The 22613-nt window shown below is 46.5% G+C and overlaps 1 protein-coding gene across 16 annotated transcripts in view; it reads left to right on the top strand.

The window, feature by feature from the left end:
- Positions 1–22613, top strand: part of SRGAP3 (SLIT-ROBO Rho GTPase activating protein 3) — a 382437-nt gene that overhangs the window by 304460 nt on the left and 55364 nt on the right. For 15 of the 16 annotated variants that reach the window (XM_024453843.2, XM_047449335.1, XM_047449333.1 and 12 more), the window contains 5 exons: positions 96–317; positions 2234–2335; positions 5344–5541; positions 11093–11177; positions 20478–20505. In XM_024453843.2, coding sequence (XP_024309611.1) covers positions 96–317; positions 2234–2335; positions 5344–5541; positions 11093–11177; positions 20478–20505 — 635 coding nt within the window. Of the gene's footprint in view, positions 1–95; positions 318–2233; positions 2336–5343; positions 5542–11092; positions 11178–20477; positions 20506–22613 lie in introns of those variants that run through there. The other variant, XM_047449337.1, reaches the window with a different exon arrangement.

The raw sequence follows: 22613 nt of genomic DNA, 5'->3' as shown, positions 1-22613 counted from the left end.
AAAGGGAGGTAATTGTAAGTCACTGTGGTGGCCAGTGACCGCCCCTCCACATCCTGGCTGTCACCCATAACCTTCCGTTGTTGCCTCTCCCCAAGTGCTGTGATTTGGGCTTCCATGCCAGCCTGGCCCGCACCTTCCGGACCTATCTCTCAGCTGAATACAACCTGGAGACCTCTCGCCACGAAGGGCTGGATGTCATTGAGAATGCAGTGGACAACCTGGATTCCCGAAGTGACAAGCACACAGTCATGGACATGTGCAATCAAGTCTTCTGCCCTCCACTCAAGTTCGAGTTCCAGCCCCACATGGGGGATGAGGTAGGCTTCCTCCTGGAGCCCGGGCTTGGGGCTGCTTCCCTCTGTTCCCCCATGTGCTCCAGTACATCATCCCTGGTTGCACGTACAGAAAGTTTCTATCCGACGCCTGGGGTCAAGCTCCTGGTTCATGGGCTTCCCCAGCTGAGGAGTTTACCACTAATACCCTCATCTTGCTGTCTCAGGTGCCCCCCGTGCAGAATTACAGGACCTTGGCTTCCCTTATAACCCCTCCCAGCTATGTCTAGAAGACTCCAAGGGAGCCCCAGTCTGCACACAGGCTCATGTTCTAACCCCACATGTGCGGGTGAGGTCCACGGGAAGCCTGGGCCTCACTGTAGCCTCAACACAGCCATTCAGGCTGGTGCATTCCACCAGGGCGCTCCCTTCCTCCAACACTGCAAGCCTTTGATACACCAGACGATCGAGTTTCCTTCAGTGCTTGTGCTGCTCAGATCCTTGTTATATTCTGAATAAAACAAACGAAAAACAAATGGAAAGAAGGCCCTTGTCACTGGCCCCAACACAGCCCTACTCGTTACCCAAGGCTTACAAAATCCCTTATGCAAATAGTTCCCTGAGCTTGTCTGTGTCACTGCTCCCTCGGGGCATTGGGGGAACCCACTCCAACAGTGTCCCAGACCCAGCCAGCCTCTGGGTCCCAGTGAGGCTCAGCTGGGCCACCCGTGGCACCTGCTGGGAGGGGAGGGGCAAGGAGGCATCCGAGAAGATGGCATTTGCTAGACCCTCTGCATGGCTCTGCCCACTTACTTCTGCAGGGCTGCACTGCTGTGTCTGCCCCATCCCTCTCAGTCCTCCCGATCCATCACCTGGACCTGAAAATGCTGGCCTCATGGTGACCACTGGTGACCGTAAACTTTGGGTTGTGCAATTAGTAGCAAATAACTAGTACAGTCCACAGAGCGCTACTGTCCCTTGTGATCCTAGCTGTGTTCCTGGAAGGGGTGAGGTGCACATGCCTGCCAGCAGCCCAGCCCACAGGTAATACTGGAGTCCCACATGAAAGGTGGAAGGCGGTGGCTCACGTCTGTAATCCCAGCACTTGGGAGGCCGAGATGGGTGGATCACTTGAGGTCAGGAGTTCAAGACCAGCCTGGCCAACATGGTGAAACCCTGTCTCTGTTAAAAAACAACGACAACAACAACAACAAAAAACAAACAAACAAACAGCAAATAAACAAAAAATAGCTGGGCATGGTGGCAGGTGCCTGTAGTCCCAGCTACTCGGGAGACTGAGGCAGGAAAATTGCTTGAACCTGGGAGGTGGAGGTTGCAGTGAGCCGTGATGGCACCACTGCATTCCAGCCTGGGTGACAGAGTGAGACCCTGTCTCAAAAAAAGAAGGCAGAGGGAGAACAGCATTTCTCTGGGTGCTTCCCCTCCTCCAGCCCTCGGCCCAGTCAATTGCTGGGGGACGAAGAGCTATGAGCTGTGAGAGCACATTGTCTCACAGCTGCCCTGCTGCAGTGTCATTCTGCGGCACAATGGGAGTGCGCCCCTGATTGTTTCCCATTCAGGTTTTTTCCCATTGGCTTCTCTTAGGTGGTTGCTTTCTTGCCACAATTTCTTGCCTTGAAATTAACCAGTTAGTTTTGCTTAATAAGATTAAATTAAGGCTCTTTGTAAACCTTCACATGCTTCCCAAATGTAGATCATGACTGAAAGGCCACACCTGGCAGTGGCAAGAGTGCGGACTTTGAGTAGGAAGACCCCGGTTCTCATCTGGCATTGGTTGCCACGGCCACTTATGAGCTCTGTGACCTTGAGCAGGTCACTCAACCTTTCCGAGCCCCTGTTTCCTGGACTGTGATTGGGATGTTAATGGTAGCCCCTGCCCTAGCTCCACACAGGTGAGGAGGGCACAGGGCAACCACAGATGGTGGCTGTTATTCCTGCAGGTCTGCCAGGTCAGCGCTCAGCAGCCCGTCCAGACAGAACTGCTCATGCGTTATCACCAGCTGCAGTCCAGACTGGCCACCCTCAAGATAGAGAATGAGGAGGTGAGTGAGCCCCTCTGCCCTATAAGGGATTTTCTTTGGAAGGCCTGGCTTGTCCCAGGGAGTCCACTTGTGCCACGAAGTGCATAAGAAATGATAGTTCCACTTATAAGATGGAATAGTACACGATCATTAAAACCACACACACCAAGAATCATTAATAGCCTGGAGGAACATTTATAAGATGTTAAATTGAAGAAAAACAAAAGGTGGGAGGCTGAGGTAAGAGAATTGCTTGAACCTGGGAGGCAGACGTTTCAGTGAGCTGAGATCACGCCACTGCACTCTAGCCTGGATGACAGAGTGAGGTTCCATCTCAAAACAAACAAACAAACAAACAAACAAACAAAACACAAAAGGAAATAGGACTCTATGTTCAGTATTGCCATAACTGGAGTAAACTAAAGCATATGTATATTCCTAGGCATAGAAAAAAGACTGGAGGGAAATGCTTAAATGTTATTAGTTGCTATGTTTGGGTTGTGGGGTGATAGGTGCTTTCTGTTTACTTCTTTGTGCTTTCTTCTATTTTCTGCAATGAATTTCTGTTTTATCATTAGAAATAACAGTAGGTATTTTAAATTACACAATGAAATAAACAACCTAGGGCACACTAAATTTGTCATGGATTCTGAGCTCCAAGGAACAGGTCAGCCTTACCAGGCCCAGCCTCCCTCCCCTGCAGCTGTGGGGCATAGGATTCTCAGCAAGTGGGTACAGATGGAAATACCAGTGCAGTGGCTCTATTCTGATGTGGACTGAAGAGGCCAGATGGGAAACATCCTATTCCAACCTGGACTCTTCCTGCAAGGAGGATGCCAACCAACTGGAGGCCCCTGGAGAAAGGACACCAGGATGGAGGGAGTGACACTCGAGGTCATGGGCAGGTTTATTCTTTAAAGTGCAGTCATGGGGGAGGTGGGAAGACACAGTCTTGATCTTCAAATCTCAAGAGTTCTATCCTGGGCAGAGACAGCAACTTTGCTTTTCATCTCCACAAAGGACAGACCTAGGACAAATGTGAGACAGATTGGAGCTCAGGATGATAGCAAATCAGTGCAGTCCCCAGGGGGAGGTTGTATGGAGACAAATTATATATTTGTTTTTCAAACCTGGAAAGAGACAGGAGATGAACAGAGTGTTTTCTTTATTTATTTATGCCCTACATCTTCCCCCAAAGGATTTTAAATTGTTTACACGGAATAGTATGTGGATCATAATGTTAATGGAATTTAAATTGGAAATCAGGGCCAAAGAAAGGAGAATGAAGCCAATGTTCTTCTGTATGAGCTGCTAACGGGCTTGAATGTGCTTAATTTTGAACCTGAGCTTCCTGTCATGCTGCGTTAGAAAGAAGAATTGATTTGTGTATTCATTCAACAATATTTATTCAAGTATTTATAGAGCACATACTATGTGCCAAACATTGTTCTAGATATAGAGTAAAGTGACCAAACACAACGCACCATAGCACCTCCTCTCCGGGAGGGAATATTCTAGTGAGAAAAGACAAATAATACTTGAAACTGTTGACAAAGAGAGTCAAACTCTGTAAAATACTTGAAGAGATTTATTCTGAGCCAAATATGAGTGAACAATGGCCTGTAATACAGCCCTCAGGAGATCCTGAAAACATGTACCCAAGGTGGTTGGGCCACAACTTGGTTTTATACATTTTAGGGAGATGTAAGGCATCAGTCAATACATGTAAGTTGTATTTGGTTTGGTCTGGAAAGGTGGGACAACTGGAAGCAGGGGCTTTCAGGTCATAGGCAGATTCAAAGATTTTCTGATTGACAGTTGGTTGAAAGAGTTAAGTTATTGTCTAAAGAAAGGAATGTCTGGGTTAAGATAAGGGGTTGTGCAGACTAAGGTTTTATCATAGAGATGAAGCCTCCCGGTTGTAGGCTTCAGAGGATAGGCTGTAAATGTTTCTATCAGACTTAAAGAGTCTGTTCTAACAGTAATTCCAAAAAGGAGGAGGGTATAATGAAGTAGGTTTGCCGCCCCCTTCCCATCATGGCCTGAACTAGTTTTTCAGGTTAACTTTGGAATGCCCCTGACTGAGAGGAGAGGTCCATTCAGATGGCTGGGGGCTTAGAATTTTATTTTTCATTTATGAAACACAAAAAGAAGCCAAGAAATGAATGAGCTTGGAAAATATTAGACAGTAATAGGCACTGAGTGAAGATATCGGGGGGACCAATGTCACCAGGAGGTGACATTTAAGCTGAGGTCTGAGTGAAAAGAAACAGACTTTGAGTGACAATAATTTTATAACAAACACTGGAGGCAGTTTTTCCAGGGACTGTTTTTGGAACCAGCCTCCAGAGCAAAGAATCTGCCTTTTAGGCACAGTTCAGCAAAGGGGTGTTGTAAGGTCAGGGCCCGTGGGCCCTGCTTGTGCAGGCTTCTGGTGGTCCCACGAAATTCCAGAAGAAAAAACTGGAGTCCTAGCTGAACAATGTGTGCCTCAGCAACTGTCTTCCTGGAGTTTTCCTTTTCTCAGCTGGGCTTTTGATAGGAGTCCAGTAGCAGATACCTGGAGAGTTTGTTGCACGAAGAATGGCTGCCCACCATTGTCAACTTTGTCTCTATCCTTCTCTGAATGAAGAGAACTAGAGCACATCTAATGTTGTCCCTACTCAACTGACCACCTTGCATTGGAGGAACTTGTTTTGAGTTACATAATTAGGCTAAGAGAAACAAACCTAGAAACCTGGGTTCCTCATTTGTTGCAACATTCCTCAAGGTTCTCTCTGGCAGAAGCCATACGATAAAATATCTTTAAATTGGGCAACCTGGCTTTTCATCCCAGCCAGCTGTGTGATTTTGGGTTGGTGACTAATTTGTGTTTTCCACATTAATACAGTGAGAAGGATTATTTTTGTTCTGCCTATATCCTAGGGACTTCATATGGAAGAAGTAAAGTGACAGCTGGGAAAGGGACTTTAGGTGTCAACGGCAGTATGAGAATACAGGATTTTTGTCAATCTGCTGTGTTTCCCCAGGTTAGGAAAACCCTGGATGCCACCATGCAGACATTACAGGACATGCTGACTGTGGAGGACTTTGATGTCTCCGATGCCTTCCAACACAGTCGATCGACAGAGTCCGTCAAGTCGGCTGCCTCTGAGACCTACATGAGCAAGATCAACATTGCCAAGAGGAGAGCCAACCAGCAGGAAACAGAAATGTTTTATTTTACAGTAAGTGGCATCCTGGGCCCAGAACCACACTGTCGGCCAAGCCACTGGCAGTGACTTTTCAGGAGCAACCCAAGCTACTGAGAACCAGAGAAACCACATGGGTCAATTGGATCTAAGACTCCATCACCATGCTTTTAAAATTAAGTTGCCTGGCTTGGTTTTCTGAAATGCAGAAAGTGAATTCCCAATGGGTAGCATTGGCATTGATCTTGGGTGATGATTATTGAAATTTTCTTGCTCTAGAAAAAAACCAGAGACAGTTTTATTCAGTGGGGTGATAAGAAAATGGCTGACAGAGTCAGGTACAAGTCCCAAGGAACAACCTTGAAATTATGTATATAGATTATCATGTTGAATTGTCTTAAATTTAGGTGTGAGCTTTGGAAAAAATGCCCTCAAAAATCCAAGCAAATTGCTCTTGAGTTGCTAGCCCTTCATGTAAAATCCCATGTTAATTATCTTTCATTTGGACAGGGACTGGGAGGAGAAAGGAGACGGGGACTGGGGCTTTAGTTCAACATGTGTTTACTGAACATAGAATATTAGGTTTGTAAGGGACCTTAAATCTTCCATGGGATGCTTGAGTCAGTTCAGCCACATCCCTGACCAGGGGCCATCCTGACTCTGCCTGATTGCTCCCAAGATTAAAATCTCCCTTTTTCCCCAGACAGCCCTTTTGTTTGCATTGTGCCTGGCTTTTGGTATTACCATGTTTTCCTTTATCTTTGCTATCTTCAAAAACCTACCTCACTAGGATTTCTTGGTTCTGTTCTCTGGGGCCACCCAGAGTGGAGGCTAATTCTACATGGCAGTGTTTCACATGGTTGCAGGGAGCTGGGATTTCATTTCTCTAGGCTAAATGTATTTGATTCTTTCAGTCTTGCCTTATAAGCTTTTGTTTTGAGTAGCCTCAGTATCCTAGTGACTCTCTCCTGAACATGTTCCATGTGCTGATGCCTCTTCTAAGGTGAGACTCCGAGCAGTGGTATGCCCAACACAGAACTGAGCAAAATTGGCCGGGCACCGTGGCTTACGCCTGTAATCCGAGCACTTTGGGAGGCCAAGGCAGGCAGATTGCCTGAGCTCAGGAGTTCTAGACCAGCCTGGGCAACACGGTGAAAACCCGTCTCTACTAAAATACAAAAAATTAGCTGGGTGTGGTGGCGTGCACCTGTAGTCCCAGCTACTTGGGAGGCTGAGGCAGGAGAATTGCTTGAACCTGGGAAGTGGAGGTTGCAGTGAGCCAAGATCGTGCCACTGCCTCCAGCCTGGGTGACAGAGCGAGACTTCATCTCAAAAAAAAAAAAAAAAAAAAAGAATTGAGCAAAATTTTCACCCCTTCTATACCGGGTACTATGCTCCTATTCATATGTTCTAAGATCATATTCTTTTATTATTATTTTAAGGCTAAGTTATTATCAGTTATAGCTGTCTTCCCTACATGCTGCCATTAACCAGGCCTCACTCTTCCTAAGGCTTTGTAGGGGATATCTTGGGCAGGTCTTCTGTTTATCACCAGTTAGTTTTCCTCTTGATGAATTCAATTCATGGTTTTAGTCAACATCCTGATCCAGTTACTCAGCATACGTGCTGTCTCCTCAAACCTGTGTCACCTGCAGATTCAGTAAGCATGGCTTCCAAACTTTAATCAATTTAAAGACTAATGGGTATACCAAGGCCAAGGCCAAAGACAGAGTTGTTAAAAATATGCAGCTAGGGCCAGGTGCCATGGCTCATGCCTAAAATCCTAGCACTTTGGGAGGCCGAGTAGGAGGATCCCTTTAGCCCAGGAGTTTGAGACCAGCTTCGGCAACATAGGACGACTCCATTTCTACAAAGAAAAATACAAGTGCATATCTATGGTCCCAGCTATTCAGGAGGGTGAGGTGGAAGGATTACTTGAGCCTGGGAGGTTGAGACTGCAGTGAACTGTGATTGTACCACTGCACTCCAGGCTGGGTGACAGAGTGAGACTGTCTCAAAAAAAAAAAAAAAAAAAAAAAAAAAAAGCAATGAGGCTAATATTGATTGGATTGTAGTCATTTAACCCATCACAAACCCACCCAATTCTAACTTCCACCTCCATCTTATAACTGCCTTTGTCAAATCCCTTGTCAAAAACCAGTAGTCGATACACACTACATTTTCTCCAACACTCTTTGACCCTGTCAAGGAAGAAAACAAAGCGGAGCTTAGCAAAGCAGCCCACGCTGATTGCTGGTATTCACCACTTCCATGGAGCCTACGGTGTTCACAAAGAGAATTTGTGGTTACAACATGCACATGAAGATTAATTCACTTTGGCAGTAGAAGCAAAGAATTCTGGGGAACAGAATTCAAGAAGGGAGTTTGGCCTACTCGAAGTTAGGAGAATTCTCCAGTATCTATGACTAATGGTCATCAGATGTTATAGTTTATTCTTAATACTTAGTTTGCTAACCTGGTTTCCTAGTATACCTTCTCATGACTCATTATTTTAGGTCTTTTTAAGGACATCGTAATCCTTTCAATGCAAACATCAATGCAATTTGATGGCATTCTTTATTTTGCGGACATTCGTTGTTCTTCAGGTGGTTGAAGCTTAAATGAGGCGGACAGAGATGAGCTACAGAGCCCCAGGCTGTAATTTGCGCTAACCAGTGGATGACCTGCCAAGGCATGAGTTAGGCATTTGGGATTACATCTTCAACTTCTTGGAGCAGTGAGACACGGTGGACAGAATATCAGCTTACCCCTCAGCTCTGCTTTTTTGGGGAATTCTTGGACAGGAGATAAAATGAGAGGACATTATTGCTGGAAGCATCTATAGAGAGCCTCTAGGACAGTAGTTACCAAACTGAAGTGTGCATTTGAACCATCTGGGAAGCTTGTTAAAAATGCAGGTTCTCAGCCAGGCGCAGTGGCTCATGCCTGTAATCCCAACACTTTGGGAACCGAGGTGTGCAGATTGCTTGAGCTCGTGAGTTCATGACCAGCGTGGGCAACATGGCAAAACCCCATCTCTACAAGAAATACAAAAATTAGCTGGCCATGGTGGTGTGTGGCTGTAGTCCCAGCTACTTGGGAGGCTGAGGTCCCAGCTACTTGGGAGGCTGAGGTCCCAGCTACTTGGCTGGCGTGTGCCTGTAGTCCCAGCTACTTGGGAGCATGGCTTGAGCCTGGGAGGCAGAGATTGCAGTGAGCCAACATCGTACTACTGCACTCCAGCCTGGGCAATAGAGCCAGACCTTACCTAAAAAAAAAAAAAAAGTAGGTTCTCAGACCACCACTCTCCCAAGATGGGCAACTGGAATTGTGAACACTTCTGGGCCTCACTGGTTCCTCCTCCAGTGTCAAATGAAGGGTTAGACTCGAGTTATTCTAGAACAGGAATTTGCGTGTTGACAGTCTCCCCAGCTGGTTACAAGCCCCTGGCCCTCTGCCCCACACTTGGAGAAACACTGAGTCTACTCTCAGTTTACACTGGGGAGGACAGGGAGGCTCAGAAATGCTCGGTAATCTGCCCGAGGTACCCAGTGAGTGACCACAGTTCTGAGCTTCTGTTTCCTTCTGGGTAGAAGGGGCCTGATGATGTTTTCCCCATTTGCCATCCAAGACTCTGATGAGGCTTAAACGTACGTGTGTGAAAACTGTCAAGTGCTCTGTGGATACAAGTCGAGTGACTCTTAATGGCCAATAGGCCAGGTCCTGGGAGCCTAGGACCATGGAAAAGGAGAGAGGACACCACAACCTCCCACCAGCCCAGTCGTTCCAGAAACCCATCAAGGTGGGCCAGTGTGAGGTGACCCCAGTCTTATTTGTGTATGTGTCAGCCCCTACCCCAGTGGGTCTTTCCCCCATAGCTGTCAATGGGAAGGTGGTGATGTTAGAGGCCCTCCTCTATAGTTGACTTGGGGGTGTCTGAGCCTCTGCAGCTCACTTTTCTCTGCCCCCTTTTTAGTGTGCTGGCTGGGACAATAGAGTGGGTTTCTCTTTGAGAAACTAGCAGGTGGATTTGGGGCAGGCACATCTACCTCCTTCACTTTATTCTCAGGGCTGTTGCAATTACTGTACCCCTTGCTTGTAAACCTCCTTCCCGCAGGTCCCCATGTGGCCCCCTTTCTACCTCCTTCAGGCCTTGGCTCAAATGTCCACTTTGCAGTGAGGTCTTCTAGACTTCCAGTCCACTGTTCCCACTTTATTTGATTTATTTATTTTTTTGTGGAGATAGGGTCTCACTCTGTTGCTTAGGATGGAGTGCAGTGGCATGAACATAGCTCACTACAGCCTCAACCTCCTGGGCTCAAGTGATTCTCTCACCTTGGCCTCCTGAGTAGCTGGCACCACAGCACACACCCCCAGGCCTAGCTAGTTTTTTAAACTTATTTTTTTAGAGACTTGGTCTTGCTATGTTGCCCAGGCTTGTCTTGAACTTCAGGCCTTCAGCAATCCTCTCACCTCAGCCTCCTGAGCAGCTGGAATTACAGGTGTGAGTCACCGTGCTCAGCTCTGCTTTCTTTTTATCCGTAGCATTCACCACCGCCTGACTGAGTGGTATTTTATTTACCTTTTTTGTTCGTTTATTGTCTCCCTCCCCAGCCCACCACGTAAGCTTCAAGAGGGAGGGATCCAGTGAAATTTCTCAGCACCTACTCTAAGCCAGTCACAGCTTTAGGCACTGGGGAGCTGGAGATGAGCTGGGCTTGGAGCCCACCCTCTAGCAGCTGGCCATGCAGCAGAGGCATGCCCAGTGGGGCTCTGTGACAGTGCAGGTGGGGGAAGCTGGCACCTGTGTAGAGGTGGCTAAGGCCCACTGAGTTCCAGGCAGGTAGGTGTGTTTCTGTCCTGGCCTATTCTCTGTCCCTCAGTACTGCTCTGAGGTGCACTGCTCTGGGCCAGAGCCCTGAACTAGGAAGCAGGCTGGGGTTAGGCCTGGCCCATGGCTGACTTTCCGTGGGACCTTGGACAAATCACTTCCTGGTGCAAGCTTCATTTTTCTCATCTGTACAAAGAAGAAAATCTTATCACCCCCTGCAGTTTGGGTTATTTTAATGGGAAAGCCTCTCAGGGGCCTGCAAGCCCCTCCTCCTTCAAAGTGGGGCCAGATGAAAGGAAGACTCGTTCCGAGGCTCCTCTCTGACAGATCCGATAAAGCTCCCTAGCTTCGGCTGCGTGGCCCCTGGGACGGCTCCCATTTTTATTGCTCTTGGCGCAGAAGCACAGTGGAGCTTTGATGACTAAAGAGGCCCTTTGCTTTGTCTCCCCGTGGCCCTTACCTGACAAAGGCAGCTTTCACTGCTGCCATTCTCCCCTGGTTTGCTTTGTGTTCCTAACCCCCGACCTGAAAGGCCTGGAGCCCTCCAAGGGCCTGGCCTCCGCCTGTCAGCGCTGGGGTTCTAGATGGAGGAAAGCAAAGACGCAGATGCAGAGGCCTCTCTGTTCCCTGCGCCGGGGTCCCTGCGGGTGACGTGATCTCTGTTCGGCTTCCGTGTCCCAGAGGTCAGTTGCAGAGGCAGAGATCCCATTACTCGGCCTTGCAATCTATAACTTCCTTGTGCCTTGTGTCTTACAGAAATTTAAAGAGTATGTGAATGGCAGTAACCTCATCACCAAGCTGCAGGCCAAGCACGATTTACTCAAGCAGACCCTGGGCGAAGGTGAGTGGGCTGGTGGAGGCCCTCTGGGAGGTGCTGCGTTCCCCACTGGCTCTCACTGTGGCCCCCTGACGTGTTGAGCTGTTCAGGCTTGAGACAGCAGGCACCTGGCAGAATGAACCTGGACTTACCAGGACTGGGCAGGCTGGGAAAATCACCTTGGTACAGATGCCTTGTGGGGTCCAATCTGGCTATAGAAAATAGAGGGTGTGAGTTGCTTTTTGATTAATAGAAAGAAAAAAAATAAAATAAAGAAAATAGAGGCTGGGCACGGTGGCTCACGCCTGTAATCCCAGCACTTTGGGATGCTGAGGTGGGCGGATCACGAGGTCAGGAGATCGAGACCATCCTGGCTAATACGGTGAAACCCCGTCTCTACTAAAAAAATACAAAAAATTAGCCGGGCGTGGTGGCGGGCGCCTGTAGTCCCAGCTACTCGGGAGGCTGAGGCAGGAGAATGGCGTGAACCCAGGAGGCAGAGCTTGCAGTGAGCCGAGATCATGCCACTGCACTCCAGCCTGGGCGACAGAGCGAGACTCCATCTCCAAAAAAAAAAAGAAAAGAAAAGAAAATAGAGGCCAACCACAAGTCTTAGTTTAGGTTGGCAGGGACAGTCCAAGGCAAAGTGATAGAGGGGCATCCATCAGGTAGGGAGTGGGAATCCAGGGCCTCAGAGGCTGGCACTGACATTTTTCAGCAGACACTATTTGCAAGGAATACTACTGGAGTGTCTGGCTAGGGTTCTAGGTCCAGAGAAGGAAAATCCATACATGTAAGTCAGGGTTTGGCCCTCGAGGGACCTGACAACTAGGCTTAAAGCCACTCAATGCATTCCAGTGGCAGTTGGAATAAAATCCCAGCTGCTGTCACGGCACATGAGGCCTTATACCACTTAGCTTCTGCCTGCTTCCCTGACCTCATCAGTCATTCTCCCTTTCCTTACTGTGCCGCAGCCATGCTGAGCAAATTTCTGCCCTTCAGGACTCACCAAGCTTATTCCTGCCCCAGGGCCTTTGCATCTGCATGGGCAACCACCACCCAAATCAGGGGGTAGAGCATTTCAGTCACCCTCAAAAATTCCCTCGTGCTCCTTTGCAGTCAGCACCCCACACTCTACTCTGATCTGATTTCTGTCACTGCAGATTAGTTTTGTGTGTTCTAGGTAGTAAGGGCTGGGGAACTTTGGGGGCTGACGGAAATAAAAGCTCCATATCCTGCTTTGAGTGGTGGTTATACTTGGGGGTAGACATTTGTTAAAACTCATTGACTAGGGGGTAGGAGGGGGGAAGACTCAGTTGCAGTGAGCTTTTTCTTCATTCTTTCCCTCTAAATTTTACCCATCCCGACATTTCAGTATTGGGCCAGCGGGTAAAGGGGGTGTGGAGGAGTTTGGGTAGCAAAGAGGGAAGAAAAACAGTGAGAATGGAGGAGAAAGGGAGAGAGTCCAAGAGTGGAGCTCAGGGTGTGGGTGCCATGGGGGCAGCTTCTAAGACTAGCATTAAAGAGGAGGGTTGGTATTTATAGGCACAGGGCAGGGGGCTATTCCTCATGAGCCAGTTAACCAAAAGGTAGGACCATATGAGTTGGTGGCTACTTGCATTTTTGAAATTAGATGCTGAATTTGGAAAACTAGATCTTCTTTTAAAAAATACGATCCTGGGCCTGGTGCAGTGGCCTGCCCACGCCTTCTTGGTGCAGAAGCATAGTGGAGCTTTGATGAATAAAGAGGCCCTTTGCTTTGTCTTCCTGCGGCCCTTATCTGACAAAGGCAGCTTTCATTGCCGCCATTCTCCGGGGGGGCTTGCTTTGTGTTCCCAACTCAAATGATGATGATTGATGATGACGGTCATCATCAATCATCATCATCATCATCATCATCATCATTATCACCATACTTAGTTTTGGCATAACTCCTGGTCCATTTGGTCCTCCAAGTTTATTTAGCCTTCAACTACGCCTTGCTCTAAGATTGCTCTACCAGTCTCTCTTCTGAGTTTTGAGCTGATTAGCAATAAAAAAAAACCTCCCGGAAAATGCATTTTCAGAAGTAGAGGGGCAGCTAAGAAAAAGCCAACTGGAAGAGTCTCCGTAATCCTGTGTTTCAGTAAGCTGGCCGTGGAGAGGCTCACTGCGCTTCCTTTGACAAATGGATGGTTCTTGATAGACTGGTCAGTTCTACAGAAGTTTTTTTTTTTTTTTTTTAAAGTAAACTTTCTCTTTTAAAACAGTTTTAGAGCTACAGAAAAGTTGGGAAGATAGTATAAAGTTTTCATATACTCCACATCTAGTTTGTCCTGTTATTAACATTTTACATTAGTATGCTATATTTGTCAGCATTAATGAATATGGTACATTATTATTAACTGAAGTTAACAAATTACTGAATAACTGAAAAAGATGGACCCTGAATAAATTGAGACCAAATCTCCAGTCATTTTTATATAGCCACTACACGATAAAGATACAGGTAGATTCTTAGGGCACTGGGTGAAAAGGGAGAATTTCCACTGACCTAATTGATAAATTGATCAATTGGAAATTGCCCATTGGGTGAAGGAAGAAGGGAAAAAATTCAGCAGGCCAAAGAGAGCTCAGAATCTTAGCAAATTCATCCTTCTTAGTGTCAACTGGTGATTCACCTTTTCCTGAGCGTTTTGGTTCTTCTATTCAGTAGGATTCTCTTCTAAGAGTAGGGTAGCGTTACAGCTGCGTCAGTGGCCTTTTTATGCCGTATGAGGGCTATTTTGTAGTATCATGTCTAGTGCCTCAGTTTCTGTAAAGTACAGTAGCCCTTCTTTATTTGTGGTTTCGCTTTCCATGGTTTCAGTTTCTTGTGGTTATCTGTGGCCTGAAAATATGAAATGGAAAATTCCCGAAATAAACAATTCATACGTTTTAAATTTCTCGCTGTTCTGAGTAGCATGATGAGCACGCTGAGCAAATTTCTTTGCTGAGCAAAAATCTTACGCCATCGCGGCTCCATCTCTGCCAGGATGTGATTCCTCCCTTTGTCCTGCATATCCACTCTGGATATGGTACCCGCCCACTGGCCACTTAGTAGCTGCCTTGGTTATCAGATTGAAAAAACAGAGGACATGTAGGATTTGGTACTATCCACAGTTTCAGGCATCCACTGGGGGTCTTGGAACATATTCCCCACAGATAAGCGTGGACTGCTGTACTCTTTTGACAGGATGGCTCAAGGAAACTACAAGTTAGATGAAACCCAAGGTCTTTTGGGTCAGCTTTACTTAAAAGTGGATTTGAGAACATGATTGACCCCAGACATGCAAGTCAAAAAGCTTCCAGGTGCTTGGCAAATGGCATTCCCTGTTACAAAGGATGTCACTGGCGCTTCTCGGGAGCAAGAGCACATACCTTGGCTGTTGCTATGCCATTTTATTGGCCAGAGAATTCTCAGTTTATCATCATCTCTGAGTCTTAGACTTATAACCTTTTTATTGCTCTGGGGTGTGGGTATTCTGTAAGCTCCAGGGTTTACACTCAAGATGCGGTTGGTTTTTGAATTTTTGAAAGTCCCTCAAGCATGAATGAACAGTGTGCCACCTATAAAAGGGAAGGAGCATGACCTTTTCATGCCAACTTTAATTGCCCATCACAGAGCAAAATGGCCACCAGGACCAGGCCATCTGACTTTCTAGAAAATTACTGAACCACCAACTATAAAATATATTTTTAAAATCCCAACAGGTCTCAGAAGGTAAAGGATAGGCAAGTTTTGATTTCCCATATTTGTGAGACAGTCACCCTGTTTCTAAAGATGCTGGTTGTGGGATTCTTGAGAGCTGGAATGTGAGTCTGAAGCTGAAAGACAGCATATTAGATTCCACGTCAGAGAAAAGTTTTCCTTCAGTGTGTTCTGACATTCCACTCCACATCCTAAAACCTTTGATTTCTACCTGCCCCCTTCTGTTCACCCATCTATCCAAGAGCGCAGGCATTTTGTTTGGCCAGGCCTGGGGAGATAGTGGTACACGAGAAAGGTAAGGTCCCTGCCCTCATGGAAAAGAGAGACCTCAAACGGTAAACAAACTACTAAGTAAACAATGATAATTGAGCCCGGTGTGGTGGTGGCCCTGTAATCCCAGCTACTCAGGAGGCTGAGGCAGGAGAATCACTTGAGGCCAGGCAGTGGAGGCTGCAGTGAGCCAAGATCACGCCACTGCTTTCCAGCCTGGGCGACAGAGCAAGTCTCTGTCTCTTAAAAAACAGCTGGGGGTGGGAATTATAATTGTGTTAAGTGCCATGAATGAAAACTTTGGGCTGAGATAGAGAACAATGGTGTGTGTGTTTGGGAGAGATGGGGGGGACCTGCTTTAGATAGGGTGATCAGAGAGGCTTCCTAGGGGAGTTGCTGTTTCAGCTGAAACTAAAGGATGAGAAGACATCAGCCAAGTGAAAAACCAGGGAAAGAGTTTTTGGGGAAGAGGGGACAACATTTGCAAATGCGGGAAAGGATGTGGTGAGTCAGAAGAATTGAGAGAAGGGTATTGTAACTTGTTGAGTACACAGAAGAGTGGACGGTTTGGGAACCCAGAGGAGGGGGAACAGGAAATCAACACTCCTTGTTCACTACAATCCCAGGCCATCGCCTGACCACTTTCATGGGCTGCCATCAGCTCTAACAGGAGGGCTTGTGTCTACCTGAAAATTTTATCCAAACTGGTGTCTGGTAGGAATTTGCCCTTGACTCCAGACACACAGTCAAATCAAACAGGACAAATTTGCCTGTTTTACCGAACTTTTCTCCTTTCCTGCTTTGGTCTTTGGTTCCAATTCCACCAACTGCAGCCACCCATGTAACTGCTTGTGGCTTTGCTCAGGAATTAAGGAGTTGCCTGTTGATTTGCCCCAAGTTCTATTTTCAGACCCAGATTACTCTCTTCCTCTCCTTATTTCCCTCCCTGGCCCTATTCTGCCTTTTTTTTTTTTTTCTGTAAATAAAATGCTCGATTCTTTCTTCTAAAAGTCTTTTAATGTTAGTGCTAGGTGGGATTCCAGAGTTGAGAGCTGTGCTGTCCAGTATGGTGGCCACTAGCCATGTGTGCCTGATGAACACTTGAAACATGGCTAGTCTGAATTGGGATGTGCAAAATGAACACCAGATTTTGAAGAGTTAGTACACACATACACACAAAATAGAAAATATCTTATTGATTTTCTATATTGACACATATCAAAATTATAATCTTTTTGATATTAGGTCAAATGTAATATGTCATGAAAATTAATCTCACTTATTTCTCTCTCTCTCTTTTTTTTTTTTTTTTGAGATGGCGTCTAGCTCTGGGGGTCCCAGGCTGGAGTGCAGTGGCACAATCTCAGCTTATTGTAACCTCCAACTCCTGGGTTCAAGCGATTCTTGTGTCTTAGCCTCCCGAGTAGCCGGGATTACAGGTGTCCGCCACCACGCCCAGCTGATTTTTCTGTTTTTAGTAGAGATGGGGTTTCACCATGTTGGCCAGGCTGGTCTCAAACTCCTGACCTCAAGTGATTCACCCACGTCGGCCTCCGAAAGTGCTGGGATTACGGGCACGAGTCACCACTCCCAGCCTCATCTGTTTCTCTTAACGTTTTGTAATGTGGCTACCAGAAATTGTGGCTTGTATAAATTTCTACTAGATGGCACTGGTTTCAGAGATTCTGAACTGGAAGCAGTTCTTGAGAATATTAGGAAACGGAGAGCATTTTTGGAGCCATGACTGGGGACAGTACTGCTGGTAGTTGGTGAGTGAGATCTAGGGATGTCAGCATCTGCAAAGTACTAGACAGGCAATGAAGAATTTAAACTGAGGATATGGAGGCCCAAAGAAAGGAAGTGGCTTGTCCAAGCTCACGCAGTGAGTTGATAAAAGAGTTAAACAGTAGGACTCAGACCTCTTTGTTTTCAGTACAGTTTTGGTAGGAGAAGGAAAAGATATTATTTAATCTCTTCATTTTGAGTGCCATACCCTTGCCAAGGCAGCTGTCCTCTAATGTGTGGCATCCCTGAAGAGGGGATATTATAAGAAGCCAAATGCTGCCTTCAGGGAGTCCCTGGGTCGGAGGCATATACTGCTGGGGACATCTGTTCTCCCTCACCTTGTGTTTGTGGAGGTGGAACCAGCTTCCCTGGGTAAACTTAGACTTGAAGTTAGGCAACCTGGATTGGAATCCAGACTCTACACTTAGCAGGGACTTGGGAAAGTCACTCCATATCTCCAAGTCCATTTGCTCATCTGTTGTGACAGGAATGACACCCTGTGTACAATTGTGCTGCAGCACTTATTACACTATCGTGTAATCTGCTTATTGACTCATTTGGTACTAAGCTTCTTGCAGATAGAGCACTTGTTCATTCATTCACTCATTCTACAAATATTTGTTGAGCATATACTTTGTGCCAAACACTGCCCAAGACCTTGGTGTCAGCGCAGTTTTAAGAACTGACAAGATTCCTTCTCTCACAGAACACAGTATTTTCCAATGGAGATAGACTGGCAGTGGACAAGTAAACAAATAATAAGTAAGAAAAATATTAATGATAAGCTACATGTATTGATAATTTAAATAGAGAAACGTGATATAAAGAGACAAGTGTGTGCTTTAGATAGAGGAAGAAGCCTGGGCAACATAGTAAGACCTCATCTCTACTAGAAAAAAATAGCTGGGTGTGGTGGTATGTGCCTGTGGTCCCAGCTACTCAAGAGGCTGAGGCAGGAGGATTGCTTGAGCCCAGGAGACTGAGGTTGCAGTGAGCTGTGATTGCACCACTGCACTCCAGCCTGAGCGGACAACAGAGTCTAAAATAAATAAAATAATATAAAATAGAATAGAATAGAATAAAAATAAAATAAATAATAAAGATAGAGGAAGCTTGTCTCTGGACACAGCTTTTAAGTTGAGACCCAAAAGACAAGGTGAAATGAGCCATGCAAGTGTTGGGAGCAAGAGAATTCCAGGCAGCAAATGCAAACGCCTACTTGAGGACCACACAGAGGCCTCTGCATCTGTAGCAGAGCACACAAAGGAGAAAGCAGCCTGAGGAGATGGAGTAGCATTTTGAAGGGTCTACTCTGACCTCAAAGGGTTTATAAAACAGAGTAAGAGGTCTGGATTTTGTCCCTTGTGCGATGAGAGGTTATTGGAGGGTTCTAAGCAAGGGAAGGACATGATCTGATTTACAGTTTAAAGAGATTGCTTGGCTGCTGAGGCAAGAATGGATGGTAGTGGAATAGGAGACCCAGTTAAAAAGAAAGTCGTCCAGGTAAGAGACAAGCATGGCATGGACTAAGAAGATAGTGTTAAGTGGAGAGAAGTGGACAAATTTAATTTATGAAGGAAAGACAGTTTTCAAGGAGAGCACCTGTTAGACTTCTGGCTTAAAGAAGAGGGGAGGTGGATATCCACTTATTGAGATATTGAAGACTTGGGTGAAAGTAGGTTTGGGGCATAGAAAGAAAGAGTGCTATGGGAAACATTTAAGGTTTGAGATAAAAGAAGGCAATTTGTGTTGAGTGGATAAAGAAAATGTGGTCTGTGCATATGATGGAATATTACCAAGTCATATGAAGAAATGAATTACTAAACCGTACTATATGGATAGACCTCAAAAGCTTTATGCTAAGTGAAAGAAGCCAGATGCAGAAGACCACATCTTGTATAATTCCATCTATATAAAATGTCTCGACTACGCAAATCTGTAGAGACAGAGAGTAGATTAGGGTTGCCAGGGGCCGGAGGCAGGAACAGGGAGTGACTATTAGTGGGCATGAAAGATCTTTTTCTGGGGATGGAAATATTTTCAAACTGAATTCTGGTGAGGGTTGCATAACTTTGAATAGTCACTAAAAATCACTGAATTATACACTCCAAATGGGTAAATTTTATGATATATAAATTATACCTCAGTTATGCTATTTTTATAAAAGATTGCAGTGCATCTGAGTTTGGAATTCTAGGGAAGCGTAAGATCTGGACATAGAGTAGGGAGTCCTTGGTAAGCACTTGCGGTCACTTAGAGAGGATGTGTAGAAAAGGAAAGCAGCCCTGGGTCTGTGTCCTGATGGCACTCCAACATTTTGAGGTTTGAGGTTGGGCAGAATGAGGAGGAGACAGGAGAAACTGAGGAACTTGTAGGGCAGGAAGAACACCTGGAAAGTGTGGAGTCATGAAAGTGAAGAGTAGAGAGCTTTGTAAGAAGGGAGTCGTGAACTGAGCAGCATGGTGCGGAGAGGTCAGGTACGATAAGGACAGAGAAGACCATTGGATTCAGCCTCAAGGAGATCCTTGTTGCCCTTAAGTGTTGACCTTGACAAGAGCAGTGTCAGCCCAGGGATGAGGACAGAAGCCTAGCTGCAAAGAGGTGAGGAGGGAATAGCAGGGGAGGAAGCAGTAGTGCCTCCAGACATCTCCTTCAGGGAATTGTGCTGTAAAGAAGAGCAGAGAAATGAGGATGTAGCTGGAAGGAGAAATGGGGTCAACAGAAGGGTTAAAAGCTAGGTCATGCATATCCAGAACATGTTGATATGCTGTTGGAAATGGTCCAGAAGAGAGGAGATTGGTGATGCTAGCGAGAGGGGAGATACCTGCAGAAACTAAGGCCCCCAGAAGGACAGAGGGGATGGAACCAGGGCATAAGGAGAAGGTCTGGGCTTTGTCTGGCAGGTAGGTGGGAGGGCCTCGTGGAGGCATGCACATGGAGAACCCATAGTACTTGATTTTCTTTTCCAGTAAAGAAAATGAGAAGATCTTCAGCTGGGAATGAAGGCAGAGGCAGGGCAGCAGGGTGGAGGAGCACCAGCCTTACGGCTGGTATCCTTCAGTGCCAGGCATACAACAGGGGCTCGGTCAATCTTTGTTGCCATTAAACATTGCAGGAGTTTTTGAACTTTGGGAGGCATAGAAGTGATCACCAGGGGTGGTAGTTAAAATGCAGATTTCTGGGTTTTTATCTCAGAGATTCTGATTCAGAAGACCCATGAGACAGCCAAGAAATCTGCATCTTTAACAAGACCCCCAGATGTTTCTGATGCAAGTGGTCAGCGGGCTGTAGTTTGAGAATCACTGAAAATATGTCTGTGAACAATAATGTGTGTGTGAACACAGCCCTACAAACAGGAGGCTTTTAATGAAGAATTAATAAGACGCAGTTCTTTTCAACAGACCGCACCTTAGGCATAATTAGATTTCATATTTCATAAATAATTAAGACTCATTGTATTTTGTTTTTAGAAAAAGATGAATGTTCTTTGGATTAAAAAGAAAAGGCAATTAAACATTCATGTATACTTTTCTTTGCAGGGGAAAGAGCAGAATGCGGCACCACCAGGTGAGAGTGGGAGAGTTGTGTTTTCTTTCATCTGCTGCCCGAGGTGGGAGTGGGATGGGGCTGGGGAGGCACTGCCAGGAGCTGGAGAAGCAGGGATGGCTTCTTCACCAATGTCCCCAAGGGCCGGTGTGGGTGTGCCCAGGTGAGGCACAGTTGCTGCTTTGCTTGTTCTAGCATTAGACTGACAAAGCCACGCCCCTCCAGGCTGGCGATGGAAGGGGCGCTTTTGGGGCTGCTGTGTGGCAGTGGGGCACCCTCCCTTTGCGCTGGCCATCGGGTGAGACAGTATTGTCTACTCAGAGTGGCTGAGGGCAGCCTGTAGGGGCCAGAGGCTGTGGGGTGGCTGTTGACCTCTCTTCCCACCTGCTACACCATGCTGAGCAAACTGCCCAGCCATGCTGCGAGGCCCAGCCTGAGGTCCCCATGTACCAAGGCTTTGGGCCAGGCTCAGATTGCGCGCAGCTGGGCACACGCATGTGCATAGGCGTGCACAGACTCTCCTGCCGTCCACACCCTAGCTTGGACCTCACGGGCACTTGGATGAGCTGACGGAAAGTAACACACGGGCAACTTCTGCTTTCTCTTCAGCTTGTTCAACATTCCCTTTTGCGCTTTTTCCTGAGCAGACCAGAGCCAGTGAACACTTTCCACTCAGCAGCTGATAGCCCAGGGGCTGACTTTACTTCCCTTTCAGAGAGCTTAGATCCATAAGTGGCTCTGTCACTGGCCAGGTTGTTTGCTTAGAGCCTATTTCATTTCTATGTTCCTATTAAGAGATATTGCACTGCCTAGCTGGAATTCAGCCAGTGGCCCAGAGGCCTGCACTTTTCCATCACACGGCAGTAGAGCGCTACTTTTTGCCTCACTTTCTGGGCCCAGGGACCTGAGGGCATTCTTTCTTTTCCCACAAATGCTTTCCAGTGGCCCCAAATCCTGGGAAGCCCTCATGTTTGGCAAGAGCAAAGATGAACTCCCAACTCTCTCCTGCTCCTTGGGAAGGGAGTTGGGCAAAGTCTTGGCAACCTCTGGGGTTTTCAGTTTCCTGGGCTCAGGATGGGGAGACGGAGGGCTTGGCAGAAGTTCAGCCCGTACAGCTGTTCCTCTGGGCTCTGGCAATTTGGAAACATCAGGATGATTCACACCAGGCAAGGCCCTTCCAGCACACGGGGCGGCAGATGTGCAGGGTCACTTTCGAAGAACCTTTTAGAAACGAACCCATTATAATTTTTTTTTCTTTTCTGGCGAGAGAATGTTGTCATAGTCTCAAAACAACAGAAGCTGTATTTTACACCAAATTCTGCAAATAGTGAAACAGATGGGGGATGAATTGAGCTGTCCCTCACTTCCTCCTAATTCCTAGAACTCACGCAGAGAAGTTTGTTCCAGCAGAGTGTGGGAGAGGAGATCTGTAATCAAACACTTGGCCAGGTCTCAGGGTCTTCCCTCAGGGGAAAGTTGAGGGTTTGTGTGTTTTGTTTTGTTTTGTTTTGTTTTGTTTTGTGTTTTAAATAAAGCCCTCTGAAGTGTTGTCTTCCACACCCTCCTTGACCTAGGGCCTGGGAAATCCAAGCTGAGTTTATCAGACCTCCCACTTAGACACCCTGCATTCAACTGCAGCTACCCTGCGTTCAATTGCAGACATAGCCCTGTGTACTCTGGTTCCTGGTCAAGGTCAAAGACAACTTTGTTAGTAAACTAAAAGTCTCCCCTTACCTCCAAAATCATGATTTAACTTGTGGAAATTGTTGCTAACAATGTCTCTGTCCTATGGCTCTCTCTGTATCTTCCATGGACTCCCACACGAGGTGGATATCATTTCTGGATGGTTATTTGAGCAGGATCCCCTCAGCTAAGTTGCTGTTGACCTTGTATAGAGGAACTGGTGTTGCATATGGGCTGCAGCATGTTATATTTTTCTCACACTTCAGAACCTTATCTTAGAATAGACCAAATTCATAATAACCCTGTAATTCAGGATGGCCAGATGTGATAATGCACTTAAGTTTAAAAGCGTATTGCAAATGTCAAAGCAAGATGCAAATATAAGGTTTGATTATTGTGATTCAAATGAATGTCTGGCTCCCCTTACCCAGGTTGACATGCCCTCG

This window comes from Homo sapiens, chromosome 3 (genome assembly GCF_000001405.40).
Source record: "Homo sapiens chromosome 3, GRCh38.p14 Primary Assembly".
Taxonomy (NCBI): Eukaryota; Metazoa; Chordata; class Mammalia; order Primates; family Hominidae; genus Homo; species Homo sapiens.
The sequence above is the reverse complement of the archived record's forward strand: the minus strand, read 5'-3'. Positions and strand labels throughout refer to the sequence as shown.